This window comes from Homo sapiens, chromosome 12, assembly GCF_000001405.40.
Source record: "Homo sapiens chromosome 12, GRCh38.p14 Primary Assembly".
Lineage (NCBI taxonomy): Eukaryota > Metazoa > Chordata > Mammalia > Primates > Hominidae > Homo > Homo sapiens.
This window is the reverse complement of record NC_000012.12, coordinates 51,789,521-51,806,109: the sequence shown is the minus strand read 5'-3', so window position 1 is coordinate 51,806,109 and position 16,589 is coordinate 51,789,521. Positions and strand designations below refer to the sequence as shown.

The following is a 16,589-nucleotide window of genomic DNA, read 5'->3' as shown; positions in this document are numbered from 1 at the left end:
ACGCCTGTAATCCCAGGACTTTGGGAGGCCAAGGCAGGTGGATTACTTGAGGCCAGGAGTTGGAGACCAGCCTGGCCAACATGGTGAAACCCTGTCTCTACTGAAAATAAAAAATTAGCTGGGCATGGTGGTGCACATCTGTAATTCCAGTTACTTGGGAGGCAGAGGCACAAGAATCGCTTGAACCTGGTAGGTGGAGGTTGTAGTAAGCCGAGATCGTGCCACTGCACTCCAGCCTTGGTGAAAGACCAAGATTCTTGTCTCAAAAAAAAAAAGTAACATTTTAAACATATAGAAAAGTAAACAATAAAATAGACACCTATGTGCCTAACACACATAACTAACACACACATTTGTCTTTTGATGTTGTTGTTTTTTGTTTTGAGATGGGGTCTTGCTATGTTGCCCAGGCTGGTCTTGAACTCCTGGGCTCAAGTGATCCTCCTGCCTCAGACCTCCTGAGTAACTGGAATGGAACACAGATTTAATAGAGGCTAGCATTTTACCAATTTTTCTTCCTCTTTCATCATTCCCAGATGAAGCATCCACAATGCTGAAGATGGTATGTATCATTCTAGTGTGTGCCTTTATAGATTTACTATGTAAGAATCATATATATATATATAATTTCCTACTATGGTTAGGAAATTATACTGTTTCTGTCTTATTTATTTATTTTAAATATTTTGTAGAGATGGGGGTCTTGCTATGTTGCCCGGGCTGGTCTTGAATGCCTGGGTTCAAGCAATCCGATCCTCCCTCCTCAACCTCCCAAAGTGCTGGGATTACGGGTGTGAACTGCCACATCCAGGCTGTATTTGTCTTATGAGGTCCATCTATTTAGGTCTCTACCTTGTTTTTGAGATTTAACATTACAATTGTGAGACTGATCCCTCATGTTGAAATAATTTTAGATTACTCATTCTAACAATTGAGTGGTAGTCCCTTTTATGAATAGGTCCTCATTTACTTGTTTTTCTACTCAAGAATGATTAGGTTTTTTTTCCAGATTTGTGCACATATGATTTTCCAAGATGATACTGATACTCTCCACAATGGAATCAAATTTCCATATCCACAAACAATAAATGAGAGGTCCTGGCTACACCTCATAACCTCATTATCCTTTAACTTTGATGTCTTACTTATTCTCTAATGCTAGCAATTTTCAAAGTATCTTCTTCTTTGCTCTGAAAAAACATCTTTGGTTTCCCATAGCCCTACCTCCCTAGTCTACCAAACTAGCCTAGAAAACTAAAGGGACTCTCAGGAGTGACTTTCAACTCTGAGCTGATAGATTTTGTGCTGCAAGTCGTGAATCAGAAACCAGTATCAGGCTGGGCGCAATGGCTCATGCCTGTAATCCAGCACTTTGGGAGGCTGAAGTGGGCAGATCACTTGAGGCTAGGAGTTCAAGACCAGCCTGGCCAACATGGCAAAACCCAGTCTCTACTAAAAATACAAAAAAATTAGCCAAGTGTAATTCCAGCTATTCAGGAGGCTGAGGCATGAGAATCACTTGAACCCAGGAGGCAGAGGTTGCAGTGAGCTGAGATCACGCCACTGCACTCCAGCCTGGGCGACAGAGTGAGACTCCATCTCAAAAAAAAAAAAGGTACAAAAATTAGCTGGGCGCGGTGGCGCATGCCTGTAACCCGAGCTACTCAGGAGGCTGAGGCAGGAGAATTGCGTGAGCCTGGGAGGCAGAGGTTGCAGTGAGCTGAGATCACACCCCAGCCTGGGCGACAGGCAGAGACTCTGTCTTTAAAAAAAAAAAAAAAAGAAAAGAGAAAAAGAAAAGAAACCAGTATCAGCAGGTAAAGATGCCAAGGCATTAGGATATAAAGGCAGAAGGTGAAAGTGTACAAATCGGAGCGCCTTTTTCTAGTTATATTCGTCCAGGGATTCACCTCAACCAGGCCACTTGTTCTTTAAAGCTACAGAGCAATGAGGGGACCCAAATGAGGGGCCACAGAAGGAAGGGAGTTGAAAAGTCTGGGAAATGACAACCGAAGGGAAGGCACTGACATGTTCTCTTCGTTCAGTACCTTCTCTTGCCGTCCAGGCACTAACAAGACAATGGGAGCTTCAGCTGACATGAGGGATTTAATTTAAGGAAACATTTCTCACTCATAAGAATGCATAAACACTGGGGCAGTTAACTGCAGAAGGCTATAGAATCCCCTTTGAAGAATCTTAGCTTTTCAGGAAAAGACAAGATGCGGTAAGTTCAGCGAGCGGGTCAAGTAACCTCTTGGAGCCTCTTCAGGAGCTAGAATTCCATGGGATATTTGAGCCTTCAAGAAAATCTCTACCTTAGCCAGGACCCACCCATGATGATTTCTCAGCTTCTCAATTAAATCATAACCAGTGACCAAAGAAGTCAGGTTATATAATATATATTCAAGTATATGTGATACTTGCAGCCCATATATGGTGGGCAAGTAGGGCTTCAGAGAGAAGATGATGGCTGAGGTAGGTTTTGAAGGATGAATGTGTGTTTGTCCCCATAGAAAAAGGGAGAAATGGGGCAGACAGTAATGTAGGCAGTAGAAACACCATTTAAGGGGTACTGTAGGTGGTTTCAGAGCTAGTTTTACCCCAATTCCTTGTGATGGTTAATATTGTCAACCTGATTGGAATGAAGGATGCAAAGCATTGTTTCTGGGTGTTGCCAGAGGAGATTAACATTTGAGTCTGTGGACTGGCAGAGGAAGACCCATCCTCAATGTGGGTGGGCACCATCTAATCGGCTGCCAACTCGGCTAGAAAAAGCAAGCAGAAGAAGGTGGAAGAAGCTGACTTGCTGAGTCTTCCGGCCTTCATCTCCTCCCGCGCTGGATGCTTCCTGCCCTGGAACATCAGACTCCAAGTTCTTTGGCTTTTGGACCCTTGGACTTACAGCAGTGGTTTTACAGGGGCTCTCGGGCCTTTGGCCACAGACCAAAGGCTGCACTGTCAGCTTCCCTACTTTTGAGGATTTGGGACTCAGACTGAGCCACTACTGGCTTCCTTGCTCCTCAGCTTGCAGATGGCCTGCTGTGGGACTTCACCTTGTGATCATGTGAGATCACATCTATCCTATTAGTTCTGTCCCTCTAGAAAACCCTGACAGATTTTGGTACCAGGAGTGGGTCTAGAGGAACAGAATTTTAAGAATAGATTTCTTTAGTTGGTTTTGGGGTTTCTGGAGTTGGCTGCTTAATCTGATTAGACCCAAAAATGCTAAGGACTCTACTTCTGATAGTATGGAGAACACTGATAGTCCCTGGTGTGAACTGTTTAGAGAGTTATGCAAAATAGATGGCATTTGATATTCCTGATTCGTCGTTCTTGAGAGGCAAGGAGTTTAGTGACTCTGTACGTAATACATTTGACCATATGTGGAGAACCAAGGAATATAATGAAGTTGGTTGGTTCTCCTAAGTTCACTGGAGAAAGTAATGAAAGAAAAGGATGAGCTCAGGGATTCTAACTCCCAGCTCCAGAGCACATACTGAGCCTCAAGTCTTCTAAGATTTCCCTGAGTCTTATCTCCTGTAGACAAAGGGCTGAATTTGCGGAAAATCAGACACAAGTTCTTACCACGCAAGTGGCTGGCCTGCAAGGAAAGGTGCATGCGTAGCCTCCCTAGGTATCTATTGTTAAAGTGAGGGCACTGATTGGAAAAGAATGGGACCCTGCGACTTGGAATAGGGATGTGTGGGAGGACCCTGATGAAGCTGGGGACACTGAGCTTGTAAACTCTGACAGCCTTTTTTGCCAGAGAAAACAGCCTCCTCACCCCCAGTGGTGGCAATATCCCTTCCCCCACCCAGGCTGCCACCAGCCTTTCCACATTTGTCTGAGATTAACCCTGCAATGCTTGAGGCAACAGTGGTCTCCCCTGAAGCAAGACAATGCTGATTCTCTTCTGAACCCACCCCCAACACCCCTGTTTGTTTCTAGACCTGTAACTAGACTCAAGTCATGGCAGCTCTCTAGAAGTGAGGTTCAGAGTGTGACTCACGAGATGAGCTACACTCCAAAAGAACTGCTTGAGTTTCTTTTTTTTTGAGACAGAGTCTTGCTCTGTCACCCAGGCTAGAGTGCAGTGGTGCAATCTCCACTCACTGCAACCTCCACCTCCTGGGTTCAAGTGATTCTCGTGCCTCAGCCTCCGGAGTAGCTGGGGTTACAGGTGCATGCCACCATGCCCGGCTAATTTTTGTATTTTTAGTAGAGACGGGGTTTCACCATATTGGCCAGGCTGGTCTTGAACTCCTGACGTCAAGTGATCCGCCCCCCTCAGCCTCCCAAAGTGCTGGGATTACAAGCATGAGCTATGGCGCCTGGCCTGCTGGAGTTCTCTAATTTGTATAAGCAGAAATCTGGAGAACAGGTATGGGAATGGATATTAAGGTTGCAGGACAACGGTGGAAGGAACATAAAGTTGGATCAGGTTGAATTTATTGATATGGGCCCACTAAGCAGGGATTCTGTGTTTAATATCGCAGCTCGGGGAGTTAAAAAGGTTCTAATAGTTTATTTGCTTGGTTAGCTGAAACGTGGATCAAAAGATGGCCCACTGTGAGTAAGCTGGAAATGCCTGATCTCCCTTGGTTTAATGTAGAGGAAGGGATCCAAAGGCTTAGGGAGATTGGAATGCTAGAGTGGATTAGTCACCTTAGACCTACTCATCCCAACTGGTAGGGTCCAGAAGACATACCCTTAATAGCTTGCAAAACAGATTTGTGAGGGGAGCACCTGCATCCTTGAAGAGCTCTGTGATTGCTCTTCCCTGTATGCCAGATCTTACAGTGGGAACTGCAGTCACTTAACTGGATAATTTAAATGCAATGGGAATAATTGGATCCCAAGGTGGCAGGGGCTGAGTGGGGGCACTCAACTGTCAAAGGCAAGGTGGGCGTAGCTACCATAATGGATAGCAGAGGCAAAGCAGCATTCAGAATAGTCTGATTAGTGTAGAGCTCTGGCATTGGCTAATTAATCATGGTGTTCCTAGAAGTGAAATTGATAGGAAGCCTACTACATTCTTTCTTGATTTGTGTAAGCAGAAAACTTCCAGGTCAAGTGGACAAAAGGCTAATTTGAATTATAAAAATAGAGAATCATGCCCCCTCAACCAATTTCCAGACTTGAACCAGCGTACAGACCCAGAATAATATTCCCCTTGAATAAAGGGGAGGCCTGGTCCCTTTGAGGAAGGACCCCACTACACTACTGACAATTTATACTGCTAATCTTTCTCCCATGCTTCCCCAAGGAGACCTCCGGTCTTTTACCAGGGTAACTGGTCCCCTTTCGGGGACTACTGGACACTGGACACTGGCTCTGAGCTGACAATGATTCCAGGGGACCCAAAACATCACTGTGGTCCTCCAGTTAGAGTAAGGGCTTATGGAGGTCAGATAATTAATGAAGTTTCAGCTCAGGTCTGACTTACAGTGGGTCCCGGATTCATCCTGTGGTCATTTTCCCAGTGCCAGAATGTATAATTGACACAGACATACTTAGCAACTGGCAGAATCCCCATATTGGCTGACTGGTAGTGTGAGGCCTATTATGGTGGGAAAGGCCAAATGGAAGCCATTAGAGCTGCTTCTACCTAGAAAAACAGTAAATCAAAAACAATACTGCATCCCTGGAGGGACTGTGGAGATTAGTGCCACCATCAAGGACTTGAAAGATGCAGGGGTGGTGATTCCCACCACATCCCCATTCAACTTTCCTATTTGGCCTGTGCAGAAGTCAGATAGATCTTGGAGAACGACAGTGGATTATCATAAGCTGAACCAAGTGGTGACGACTCCAACTGCAGCTGCTGTACCAGATGCGGTTTCATTGCTTGAGCAAATTAACACATCTCCTGGTATCTGATATGCAGCTACGGATTTGGCAAATGCCTTTTTCTCCATTCCTGTCCATAAGGTCCACCAGAAGCAATTTGCCTTCAGCTGGCAAGGCCAGCAATATATCTTTACTGTCCTACCTCAGGGGTATATAAACTCCCTGGCTTTGTGTCATAATCTTGCTCGCAGAGATCTTGATCGCTTTTCCCTTCCACAAGATATCATGATGGTCCATTACATTGATGACATTATGCCGACTGGACCCAGTGAGCGAGAAGTAGCAAACACACTGGACTTACTGGTGAGACATTTGGGTGCCAGGGGATGGGAAATAAATCAGACTAAAATTCAGGGACCTTCTACCTCAGTGAAATTTCTAGGGGCCCAGTGCTGAGGGGCCTGTCAAGATATTCCTTCTAAGGTGAAGGATAAGTTGTTGCATTTGGCCTCTCCTACAACCAAGAAAGAGTCACAACGCCTAGTGGGCCTATTTGGATTTTGGGGGCAACACATTCCTCATTTGAGTATGTTACTCCGGCCCATTTATTGAGTCACCTGAAAGGCTGCCAGTTTTGAGTGGGGTTTAGAACAGGAGAAGGCTCTGCAATAGGTCCAGGCTGTTGTGCAAGCTGCTCTGCCACTTGGGCTATATGACCCAGCAGATCCAGTGGTGCTTGAGGTATCAGTGGCAGATAGGGATGCTGTTTAGAGCCTTTGGTAGGCCCCCATAGGTGAATCACAGAGGAGGTCCGTAGGATTTTGGAGCAAGGCCCTGCCATCTTCTGCAGATAACTACTCGCCTTTTGAGGGACGGCTCTTGGCCTGTTACTGGGCTTTGGTGGAAACTGAACGTTTGACCATGGGTCACCCAGTTACCATGTGGCCTGAACCGCCTCTCATGAACTAGGTGCTCTCTGACCCATCTAGCCATGAAGTTGGGTGCGCACAGCAGCATTCCATCGTCAAATGGAAATGGTATGCACCTGATTGGGCTCGAGCAGGTCCTAAAGGCACAAGTAAGTTACAAGAGGAAGTAGCTCAAATGCCCATGGTCCCCACTGCTGCCACCCTACCTTCTCTCCCAGAGCCTGCAGAGATGGCCTCATGGGGAGTTCGCTATGATCAACTGACAGAAGAAGAGAAGACTAGGGCCTAGTTTACAGACGGTTCTGCACGAAATGCAGGCACCACCCAAAAGTGGACAGCTGCAGCACTATAGCCCCTTTCTAGGACATCCCTGAAGGAGAGCACTGAAGGGAAATCTTCCCAGTGGGCAGAACTTCGAGCAGTGCACCTGGCTGTGCACTTTGCATGGAAGGAGAAATGGCCAGATGTGTGATTATATACTGATTCATGGGCTGTAGCAAATGGTTTGGCTGGATGGTCAGGGACTTCAAAGAAGCATGATTGGTGACAAATTTGGGGAAGAGGTATGTGGATGGACCTCTCTGAGTGGTCAAAAACTGTGAAGATATTTGTGTCCCACATGAATGCTTACCAAAGGGTGACCTCAGCAGAGGAGGCTTTTAATAATCAGGTGGATAGGATGACTCATTCTGTGGACACCACTCAGCCTCTTTCCCCAGGCACCCCTGTCATTGCCCAATGGGCCCATGAACAAAGTGACTATAGTGGCAGGGATGGAGGTTACGCATGGGCTCACCAACATGGACTCCCACTCATCAAGGCTGACCTGGTTGTGGCCACTGCTGAGTGTCCAATTTGCCAGTAGCAGAGACCAACACTGAGCCCTCAATATGACACCATTCCTCGGGGTGATCAGCCAGCTACTTGGTGGTAGGCTGCTTATATCGGACCTCTTCCATCATGGAAAGGGCAGCGGTTTGTCCTCACCAGAACAGACACTTACTCTGGATATGGGTTTGCTTATCCTGCATGCAATGCTTCTGCCAAGACTACCATCTGTGGACTCACGGAATGCATTACCCACCATCATGGTATTCCACACAGCATTGCTTCTGACCAAGGCACTCACTTTACAGCTAAGAAGTGCGGCAGTGGGTTCATGCTCATGGAATTCACTGGTGTTACCATGTTCCTCATCATCTTGAAGCAGCTGGATTGATAGCATGGTGGAATGGCCTTTTGAAGTCATGATTACAATGCCAACTAGGTAACAATACTTTGCAGGGCTGGGGCAAAGTTCTCCAGAAGGCCATGTATGCTTTGAATCAGTGTCCAATATATGGTACTGTTTCTCCCATAGCCAGGATTCATGGGTCCAGGAATCAAGGGGTGGAAATGGAAGTGGCACCACTCCCCATCACCCCTAGTGACCGGCTAGCAAAATTTTTGCCTCCTGTTCCTGCGACATTATGTTCTGCTGGCCTAAAGGTCTTAGTTCCAGAGGGAGGAATGCTGTCACTAGGAGACACAACAATGATTCCATTAAACCTGAAGTTAAGATGGCCACCTAGCCACTTTGGGCTACCTCTAAGTCAACAGTCTAAGAAGGGAGTTATAGTGTTGGCTGGGGTGACTGACCCAGACTATCAAGATGAAATCAGTCTACTGCTCCACAATGGAGGTATGGAAGAGTATGCATGGAATACAGGAGATCCCTTAGGGCGTCTCTTAGTATTAGCATGCCCTGTGATTAAGGTCAATGGGAAACTACAACAGCCCAATCCAGGTAGGACTACAAATGCCCCAAACCCTTTAGGAATGAAGATTTGGGTCACTCCACCAGGTAAATAACCACAACCAGCCGTGGTGCTTGCTGAAGGCAAAGTGAATATAGAATGAGTAGTAGAAGGTAGTCATCAATACCAGCTACGACCACGTGACCAGTTGCAGAAATGAAGACTATTGTCATGAGTATTTCCTCATTTTGTTAAGAACATGTTTGTGCATGTATACACTTGTACTAGGAAAATATCTTCATTTTAGTTCTTTTCTTTTTCCTTTATCATGTGACGTAAGATTTGTTGACTTCGTATCAGCATTTAAGTGTTGTTAACTTTATGTAATAGCATTCAGGTTAAGGATTAGTGCGCTTCTGGTTGTATGAAGGATAGCTGTATTATGTTAGGCGTAATTAGGACCTTATTATTGTATTTATTTGGAGATTAAGTATGATTTCAGGAGATGTGTATGGGTTCAAGTTGGCAAGGGGTGGACTTGTAATGGTTAATATTAAGTGTCAATTTGATTGGACTGAAGGATGCAAAGTATCGTTTCTGGGTGTTACCAGAGATTAGGCTGGTGCAAAAGTAATTGCAGTTTTTGCCATTACTTTTAATTTGAGTCAGTGGACTGGGAGAGGAAGGCCCACCCTCAATGTGGGTGGGCACCATCTAATCGGCTGCCAGCTCAGCTAGAAAAAGCAGGCAGAAGAAGATGGAAGAAGCTGACTTGCTGAGTCTTCTGGCCTTCATCTCCTCCCGCGCTGGATGCTTCCTGCCCTCGAACATAAGACTCTGAGTTCTTCAGCTTTTAGACTCTTGGACTTTCACCAGTGGTTTGCCAGGGGCTCTCTGGCCTTTGGCCAGACCAAAGGCTGCACTGTCAGCTTCCCTACTTTTGAGGATTTGAGACTCAGACTGAGCCACTACTGGCTCCCTTCAGCTTGCAGATGGCCTATCGTGGGACTTCACCTTGTGATCGTGAGTCAGTTCTCCTTAATACACTCCCTTTCATATATACATCTATCCTATTAGTTTTGTCCCTCTACAAAACTCTAATACATTTCTTACTTTAAAAAGATGATTTCTATACTTTTGTTTCTGAACAAATTAATGTTAATAAAAATCCCCATCATCAAAAACATCTTCCTCTTTTTAGAGTACCATTTGAAAATAGGGGGTATGATTTGGTCTGTGGATTTTCTGTGTCACTCAACGATAAGTGGCCAGGAAAGTTTCAAGAGCAGTGGACAAGGGTAGCATTGTCCAAAGTGTGTTTTGTGAGAAATTAGGAGAATGGACTTGAGGCCAGGGGCTGGGCTTGAATCCCCACTTGCTCACTTACCAGCCACATGTCTTGGGAACCTCTCTGTGCCTCAGTTCCTCAGGATTCTTAGAGGTTTGTTGAGAGGATTATATGAATTAACATATTTAAAGCACTTATTATGGTACCTGGCACATAATGTGTTCCATTTAAATGTGAGCTATCATTATTATTACTGAAAAAAAGGAAACTGGTCTAATAAAGGTGGGATGCTATGTTACATTTAAACAGAATTCTTTATTTTTGAGACTAGGTCTCTCTCTGTCATCTAGGAAGTGTAATGGCGTGATCTCAGCTCACTGCAGCCTTGACCTCCCGGGCTTAAACAATCCTCCCACCTCAGCCTCCCAAGTAACTGGGACTACAGGCACGTATCACCATGCCTGGCTCATTTTTTTTTTTTTTTTTCAGAGATAGAGTTTTATCATGTTGCCCAGGCTGGTCTTGAACTCCTGGGCTCAAGTTGTCTGCCCGCCTTGCCTCCCAAAGTGCTGGGATTACAGGCACGCGCCACTGCACCCGGCCCAGAATTCTTTACCGTAGGATTTCCAAGAGAATTCAGTAATGTGCACTGTGAATCCTCAAAGGAAAATTAAAGGCAGTGTTACCTAAAGTAATTCCCTCATGAGATTCTTTTCTTGAGGAGAAATGTCTAGGATTAGTGTTCCACATATCAACACACTTTTGGACATGCTGCTCTGGAGGACAGAACTAGAGGGTGGCACAGGCCAAGGGGAGACCCCTGCCTTCTGGTACCTTATAACCACTACACTAGGCCCAGCATGGCCGCTGGAGCTCTGGGGCTGGTCCCATGGGTCTCGAGCACTCTCTCTAGTGTAAATGAGTCAAACTTACCTGGAAACAAGGCTGAGTTTTATCACAAAAGATGCCTTTCAGGAAGGCAAGGAAACATTTTGGGAGGGCAATCAACAGGGTGGCATTTCCTTCTGCCTGCCTGCCAGGACATCATCCCCCCACACTTTTAGGTTGAAGCAAAATGCACACAGTCACTGTTAAAAAACTTGGACTTTGGGATCAACTCGAGTTATGCCTCCACCACCTCCTAGCGAGTGGCTGTGGACATGTATACAGTCCAGATAATAAAGAAGCTTGCTTCCTGGGATGTAATAAGAATCAAATGAGATAACACAGGTGAAGAAACTCTCAAACTGTAGTTGGCCCACAGTAAAATCTCAGTAAACAAGCCCTGCCAGTAACAGCAGCACTACCATGGCCATCACCACCAGAACTTACCTAGACTATTTCATTAATGGCCAACTTAGCAATCATTCCTTCTTTCATTTTATACTTCTATTGTGCTACATTTTTTAATGACAACTTTCTTTTACCTTCCCTGTTAGACTTTAAACTCCTTAAAAGCAAGAACCAATCTTCTTTTTTTTTCTTTTTTCCCTGAGCCACAGAATTTATAATCCAAGACTACCGAGAACACTCAGTAGAAACTCACTGACCATGGAACCTGCTAGGCAGGCCCCCGAGATGACTCAGGGGCACACATGGACTTAAGCTATGAGGGTATCTTGCCTGCACTTCAGACCTGTGTCATTCATTCCTCTCCTGGGAAATCTCATCCTCACAATCAGTCAGGTCCCCTTTCCCCTCGCCTACTTCCCCAACCCCACTCACCCACAATGGAGAGGATGACTACCACGAAGTCGAAGATGTTCCAGCCAATGGTGAAGTAGTAGTGCCTCAACGCAAACATTTTGAGCACACACTCACAGGTGAAGAAGATAACAAACACCAGGTTAATCCAGTAGAGGATGTTCTCCATCTGCTTGCTTTGAGTGTCTGTCTCCACCATCATTGTCACCATGTTAAGGCAGATGAGCATCATGATAACAATGTCAAAGGCTTGCTGAGTGACAAAATCAAAGACGATTCCTTGGATTTTGTTCTGGGGAGGAAGGGAAGGAAAAGATAAAAGATTCATGAAAACCTTTCCAAGCCAACCTATGGAAGCTGTCACCCTGCTAATCGAGGTACCCTCTCCCTCCTTTTCTGTAATACTGGTCAGCTCTGCTGCTCTATCAGGAGCATGGATGGAGACCAACATCAATATTACCTCACCAAGAGCTTTCCAAAGTTACCAGCTTCTCTCTGTTTTCTGTTTGTTTTTCTTGAGACACAGTCTCATTCTGTTGCCCAGGCTGGAGTGCAGTGGTGCGATCTTGACTCACTGCAGCCTCTGCCTCCTAGGTTCAAACAATTCTCATGCCTCAGTCTCCCGAGTAGCTGGGATTACAGGCACACACCACCACGTCCGGCTAATTTTTTGTATTTTTAGCATAGACGGGGTTTTGCTATATTGGCCAGGCTGGTCTCGAACTCCTGGCCTCAAGTGATCTGTCTTCCTTGGCCTCCCAAAATGCTAGGATTACAGGTGTGAGCCATCATGCCTGGCCTTTCTTTCTGTTTTTAGAGACGGGTCTTACTGTGTTGCCCAGGCTGGAGTGCAGTGGCTATGCATAGGCGCGATCATAGCACATAGCAATTCAAACTCCTGGCCTCAGGTGATCCTCCTGCCTGAGCCTCCCAATAAGCTGGGCCTACAGGTGTGCACCACTATACCCAGCTGACCCACTTCTCTTTTGCGTCTGTGACACCACACACTCTGGCTGTCGTCCTACTTACCCAGCTGCTCCTTTTTTGGTCTCATCTGCCAGCCATTTCTTCTCTCAATCCCTTCTTTCTCTAAATTTTTGCTCTATGAGAGCTCATCTATTCCTGCTGCTTACGTGATACCTATGTACTTATGCTTAAGCTTTTCTTCTCCAGCCCATACCTTTCCTCTGATCCTGAGTTGCTTTCTTGCCACTTCTTCTTGATGACTCATAAGCATCTCAAACTTACCATGTCCAAGCCTCTCACAGTTAAGTCCAAAGCAGAGCCAAGTCTGTTCCCTGCCCCTCACCCAGCTTGTTCCTCTCATCTCAATTATTCATCCAGGCTCTCAAGCCAGGAATCTGGGCATCATCTTTGTCTCTTTCTTCTCCCTCATCTGATCCACTGAAGGGCCTGTTGATTCTTCCTCCAAAATTATAACTTGGGTTCATCCACTTCATTCCATTTTTATTGGCTCTATGCTAACCTGAGCCACCATCATCTCTCATCTGGACTTGTATGGCCACTTAACTGGTCTCCCACTTCTTCTCTTGCCCTCATCCAATGCAGTCCTCATATAATAGCAAGTGTAATGATTTAAAACAAATGGATCATGGCCAGGTGCGGTGGCTCACGCCTGTAATCCCAGCACTTTGGGAGGCCGAGGCCTCCCAAAATTGATCACTTGAGGTCAGGAGTTCAAGACCAGCCTGGTCAACATGGTGAAACCTTGTCTCTACTAAAAATACAAAAATTAGCCGGGCATGGTGGCAGGCGCCTGTGGTCCCAGCTACTCGGGAGGCTGAGGCACGAGAATTGCTTGAACCTGGGAGGCAGAGGTTGCAGTGGGCCGAGATCACGCCACTGCACTCCAGCCTGGTTAACAGAGAGAGACTCTGTCTCAAAACATAAAACAAAAAACAAATGGATCACATCATTCCCCTACTTAAAACCTTTCAAGAGCTTCCCACTGGGCTTGCAACACAATCCCTATTTGTTAACCTGGCTTACGGGGAGACACCTGGCACAGTCTGACTCTGCTCATCAATGTCCCTCCTCTGGCTCGCCACCCCCTGGCCACACTGTTTTCTGCTTCTGGGGTCTTGTGTATTCTGCCAGGAATCTCTTTCCCCAGCTCTTTGGTTCCATCTTTTTTTTTTTTTTTTTTTTTTTTTGAGATAGGGTCTCGCTGTCTTCCCCAGGCTGGAGTGCAGTGGCATGATATAGCTTACCATATCCTCTGCAGCCCTGACTCCTGGACTCACGCCATCCTCTCACCTCAGCCTTCTCAGTAGCTGGGACTACAGGCATGCTACCAGGCTCGGCTAATTTTTTTTTTTTTTTTTGTACAGATGGGGTTTCACTGTGTTGCCCAGGCTGGTCTAGAACTCCTAGGCTCAAGCGATCTGCCTGCCTCTAGATCCCAAGTTGGGATTACAGTATGAGCTACCGTGCCCAGCCAGTTCCTTCTCATCCACTCAAGTAGACCCTCCTTAGTGAGGCTTTCTCTGACTACTATATTAAAGTAGATCCACCACTTATAGCCCTCTAGTTAATTTTTTTCCTACAATCTTCCACATTTTATTGTAGCTGTTTGCTTACTTATTTATTATCTATCTCCCCAACTATTATAAGCTCCATGACAGCAGTCTACCTTTTGTTCATCACATAATGCTTAGTGCACGGTACATAGTAAAGACTGATAAATATTTGCTAAATGAATGTTAATCACTCTTTATTAATGTTTCCTACTTTTTAAAATATTTTATTTTATTTTGTATTTTTTGAGACAGGGTCCCTCCCTATTGCCCAAGCTGGAGTACAGTGGCACGGTCATGGCTCACTGCAGTCTTGGCCTCCAAGCTCAAGCAATTCTCTTACCTCAGCCTCCTACGTAGTGAGGACCACAGGTACACATAACCACGCCCAGCTACTTTTTACAAAATTTTTTTGTAGAGATGGGGTCTCATTATGTTGCCTAGGCTGGAAGTTATATTTTAATGTGGAAGAAAATACACTCAGGTTCCCATATGGAAAGTACTAAACAGAACTTTAGAAATGTTAACCCTTTTCTATTCCCTTTAGTCCCATTTCTATCACAAAATGAAGGCTTAACATCAAGGAAATAAAAAACCCCAAATGTTCTCTTTCTTGAGATTCCTTGCTTTTTTGTTTGTTTGTTTGTTTGAAGTACTGAGATACTTGGGCTGGTGCTTATTTCCAGGATTACTTTAACTTGGTGGTTTTCAATCTGCCCTGCAAAGCCCTAGAATTTCTTTTCCTTCAAAAGTTGATGCGGTAGATGTACCACGTGCGGCGTGTGGGGGTGAGGGGAGAAAACGTTCTGGAACTATAACTCTTGATTCAAACATAGTCACTCTACTTTTATTTCTACAAATTAGATTATCAGGGAAGCTTTTGTATTAAAGGTTCTGCTGGGTTTTTTTGGTGGTGTTGTGTCTGTTTTTTAAAGTTGCTAAATGGAAGTTACAGAAGAAGGAACTTTGGGCCTGGCTTTTGGGGGTGATGTCCCATCCAACCGGATATATGGAATCAGGAGCAGGGTATCTCCTTCTCCTTCTCTGAAACAAGACAACCATCACCAATGGAACAATGGAGCAGAATCTCAGCCCCCTAATCTGTTTTATAAAAGGCTCAGCTCAAGAGAGGCAATCAGGGCACCAGACTCCCATAGTTTTACCCTCTTCTGCTCCCACAAATAACCAGAAGCATGATTTTAACTTCTAGATACATCCTGCAAAGACATCCTTATTGAGCAGAGAGAAGCTGAAAAAATTATGACCAAATCCTATCTTGAACTGGCAGGAAAGAGAGCAACTTTATTTCATTTTCTCTTGTTGACTTTTGGTTGTCTCTAAAAACATCTCTCTACTAGGGCCAAAGCCAATGTGGTTCACATGCTGATTCTTGGTGGCTGCCCAAGGAAGGCTCAGAGGATAGGTCGAGGATTGATGTAAAAGCCCCCATGCCTTAATCCCTGTTCTTCTGCTGTCCTATTCAGATCTTTTGGATGGGTGGTGAGGAGAGGATTAGGCACAAAGCAGCCAATCACTTACCTTTTTCCTTCCTTTGCAGTAACTCTACTAGTACTTTTCCTATATGGGTTCTCACCAAGGCCTCAGCCTGCACAATGCACTTACCAAGGGGCGGGGAATAGGTTTCTGTGGCTTCTTTGAGCCCAGCTTTTTCATGGCATTGTAGTACTTCTTCTGTTCTTCGGTCATGAAGATGTCCTGACCTCCGAAGTAAAGGAGGGAAGAAGAAAACAGACAATTACAACTGGCTCTCAACATGCTATGGGTTTGGACCTAAGGTTCAATACTGAGAACTGAGGGGAGACCTATCCCTTTCCTTTGTAGCTAATAGCTGTCCCAGAGTGGGGTAGACCCGCGATAATCATTCAGCTCTAAAGAGATACCTGCCTTTGTTTTTAGCTCAGGATTTCTAAGATCTTCCAGTCCCAAGGTAGAAAGGAAATGGACTATCCAATTATAGACCCTCAGAAAGGGTAAACTTGAGAGCAGTGACTCTGAAGGCAGTCATATCTCAGAGTCTCATTTTCTGGGGGCCAGCTTTCCTGATACATTCTAGAAAACACATTTTAGAATAAAAAGATCTTTGTGTCCTGGCTGATAGCCAATTTATTTTAGATGATACCCAAAATTTGGAAATTCTGGTGCAAGAAAGCAATTTGGAGGGTGTCTTGGAGTATGCTGGGATAGACTTGACTTACAAAATGAGCAACGAGCAATTTTTTCAATTTGCTTTGTAAAACTTGTTAACCATCTAGAACAAGTAAGGAAGTAAACTTTCCAAAGGTGGGTCTCTCAAATCCCAATTTGCTTGTGCTCAGAGATTGACTAGATAATCACAAGTCTAGACAGTTTCTACTTCTTGCGATAGCTATTCATCTGTTTCTTTCCTTTTCATCTCTGTTGCTCGACTGCACTCTCTGACCTACCTGCTTCTGGTGGGAGACCAAGACCAGTAATAGGCCTCAAGAATAAAAGACTGCTAGTAAGTGTGGTAAACTACATGCTGCAAAATCCAGCCCCGAACAGAAAGAGTGGGTTGGGGCTAACGTATGGGGGCCAGGGTCACAGTGAGCTAACAATATAGATT

The 16,589-nt window shown here is 45.2% G+C and overlaps 1 protein-coding gene across 4 annotated transcripts in view; it reads right to left on the bottom strand.

Moving 5' to 3' along the window:
• SCN8A (sodium voltage-gated channel alpha subunit 8) overlaps positions 1 to 16,589 on the bottom strand; it is a 221,632-nt gene that overhangs the window by 6,755 nt on the left and 198,288 nt on the right. For all 4 annotated transcript variants that reach the window (NM_014191.4, NM_001177984.3, NM_001330260.2 and 1 more), the window contains 2 exons: positions 15,608 to 15,712; positions 11,469 to 11,739 (listed from right to left, as the gene is read on the bottom strand). In NM_014191.4, coding sequence (NP_055006.1) covers positions 11,469 to 11,739; positions 15,608 to 15,712 — 376 coding nt within the window. The remainder of the gene's footprint in view (positions 1 to 11,468; positions 11,740 to 15,607; positions 15,713 to 16,589) is intronic.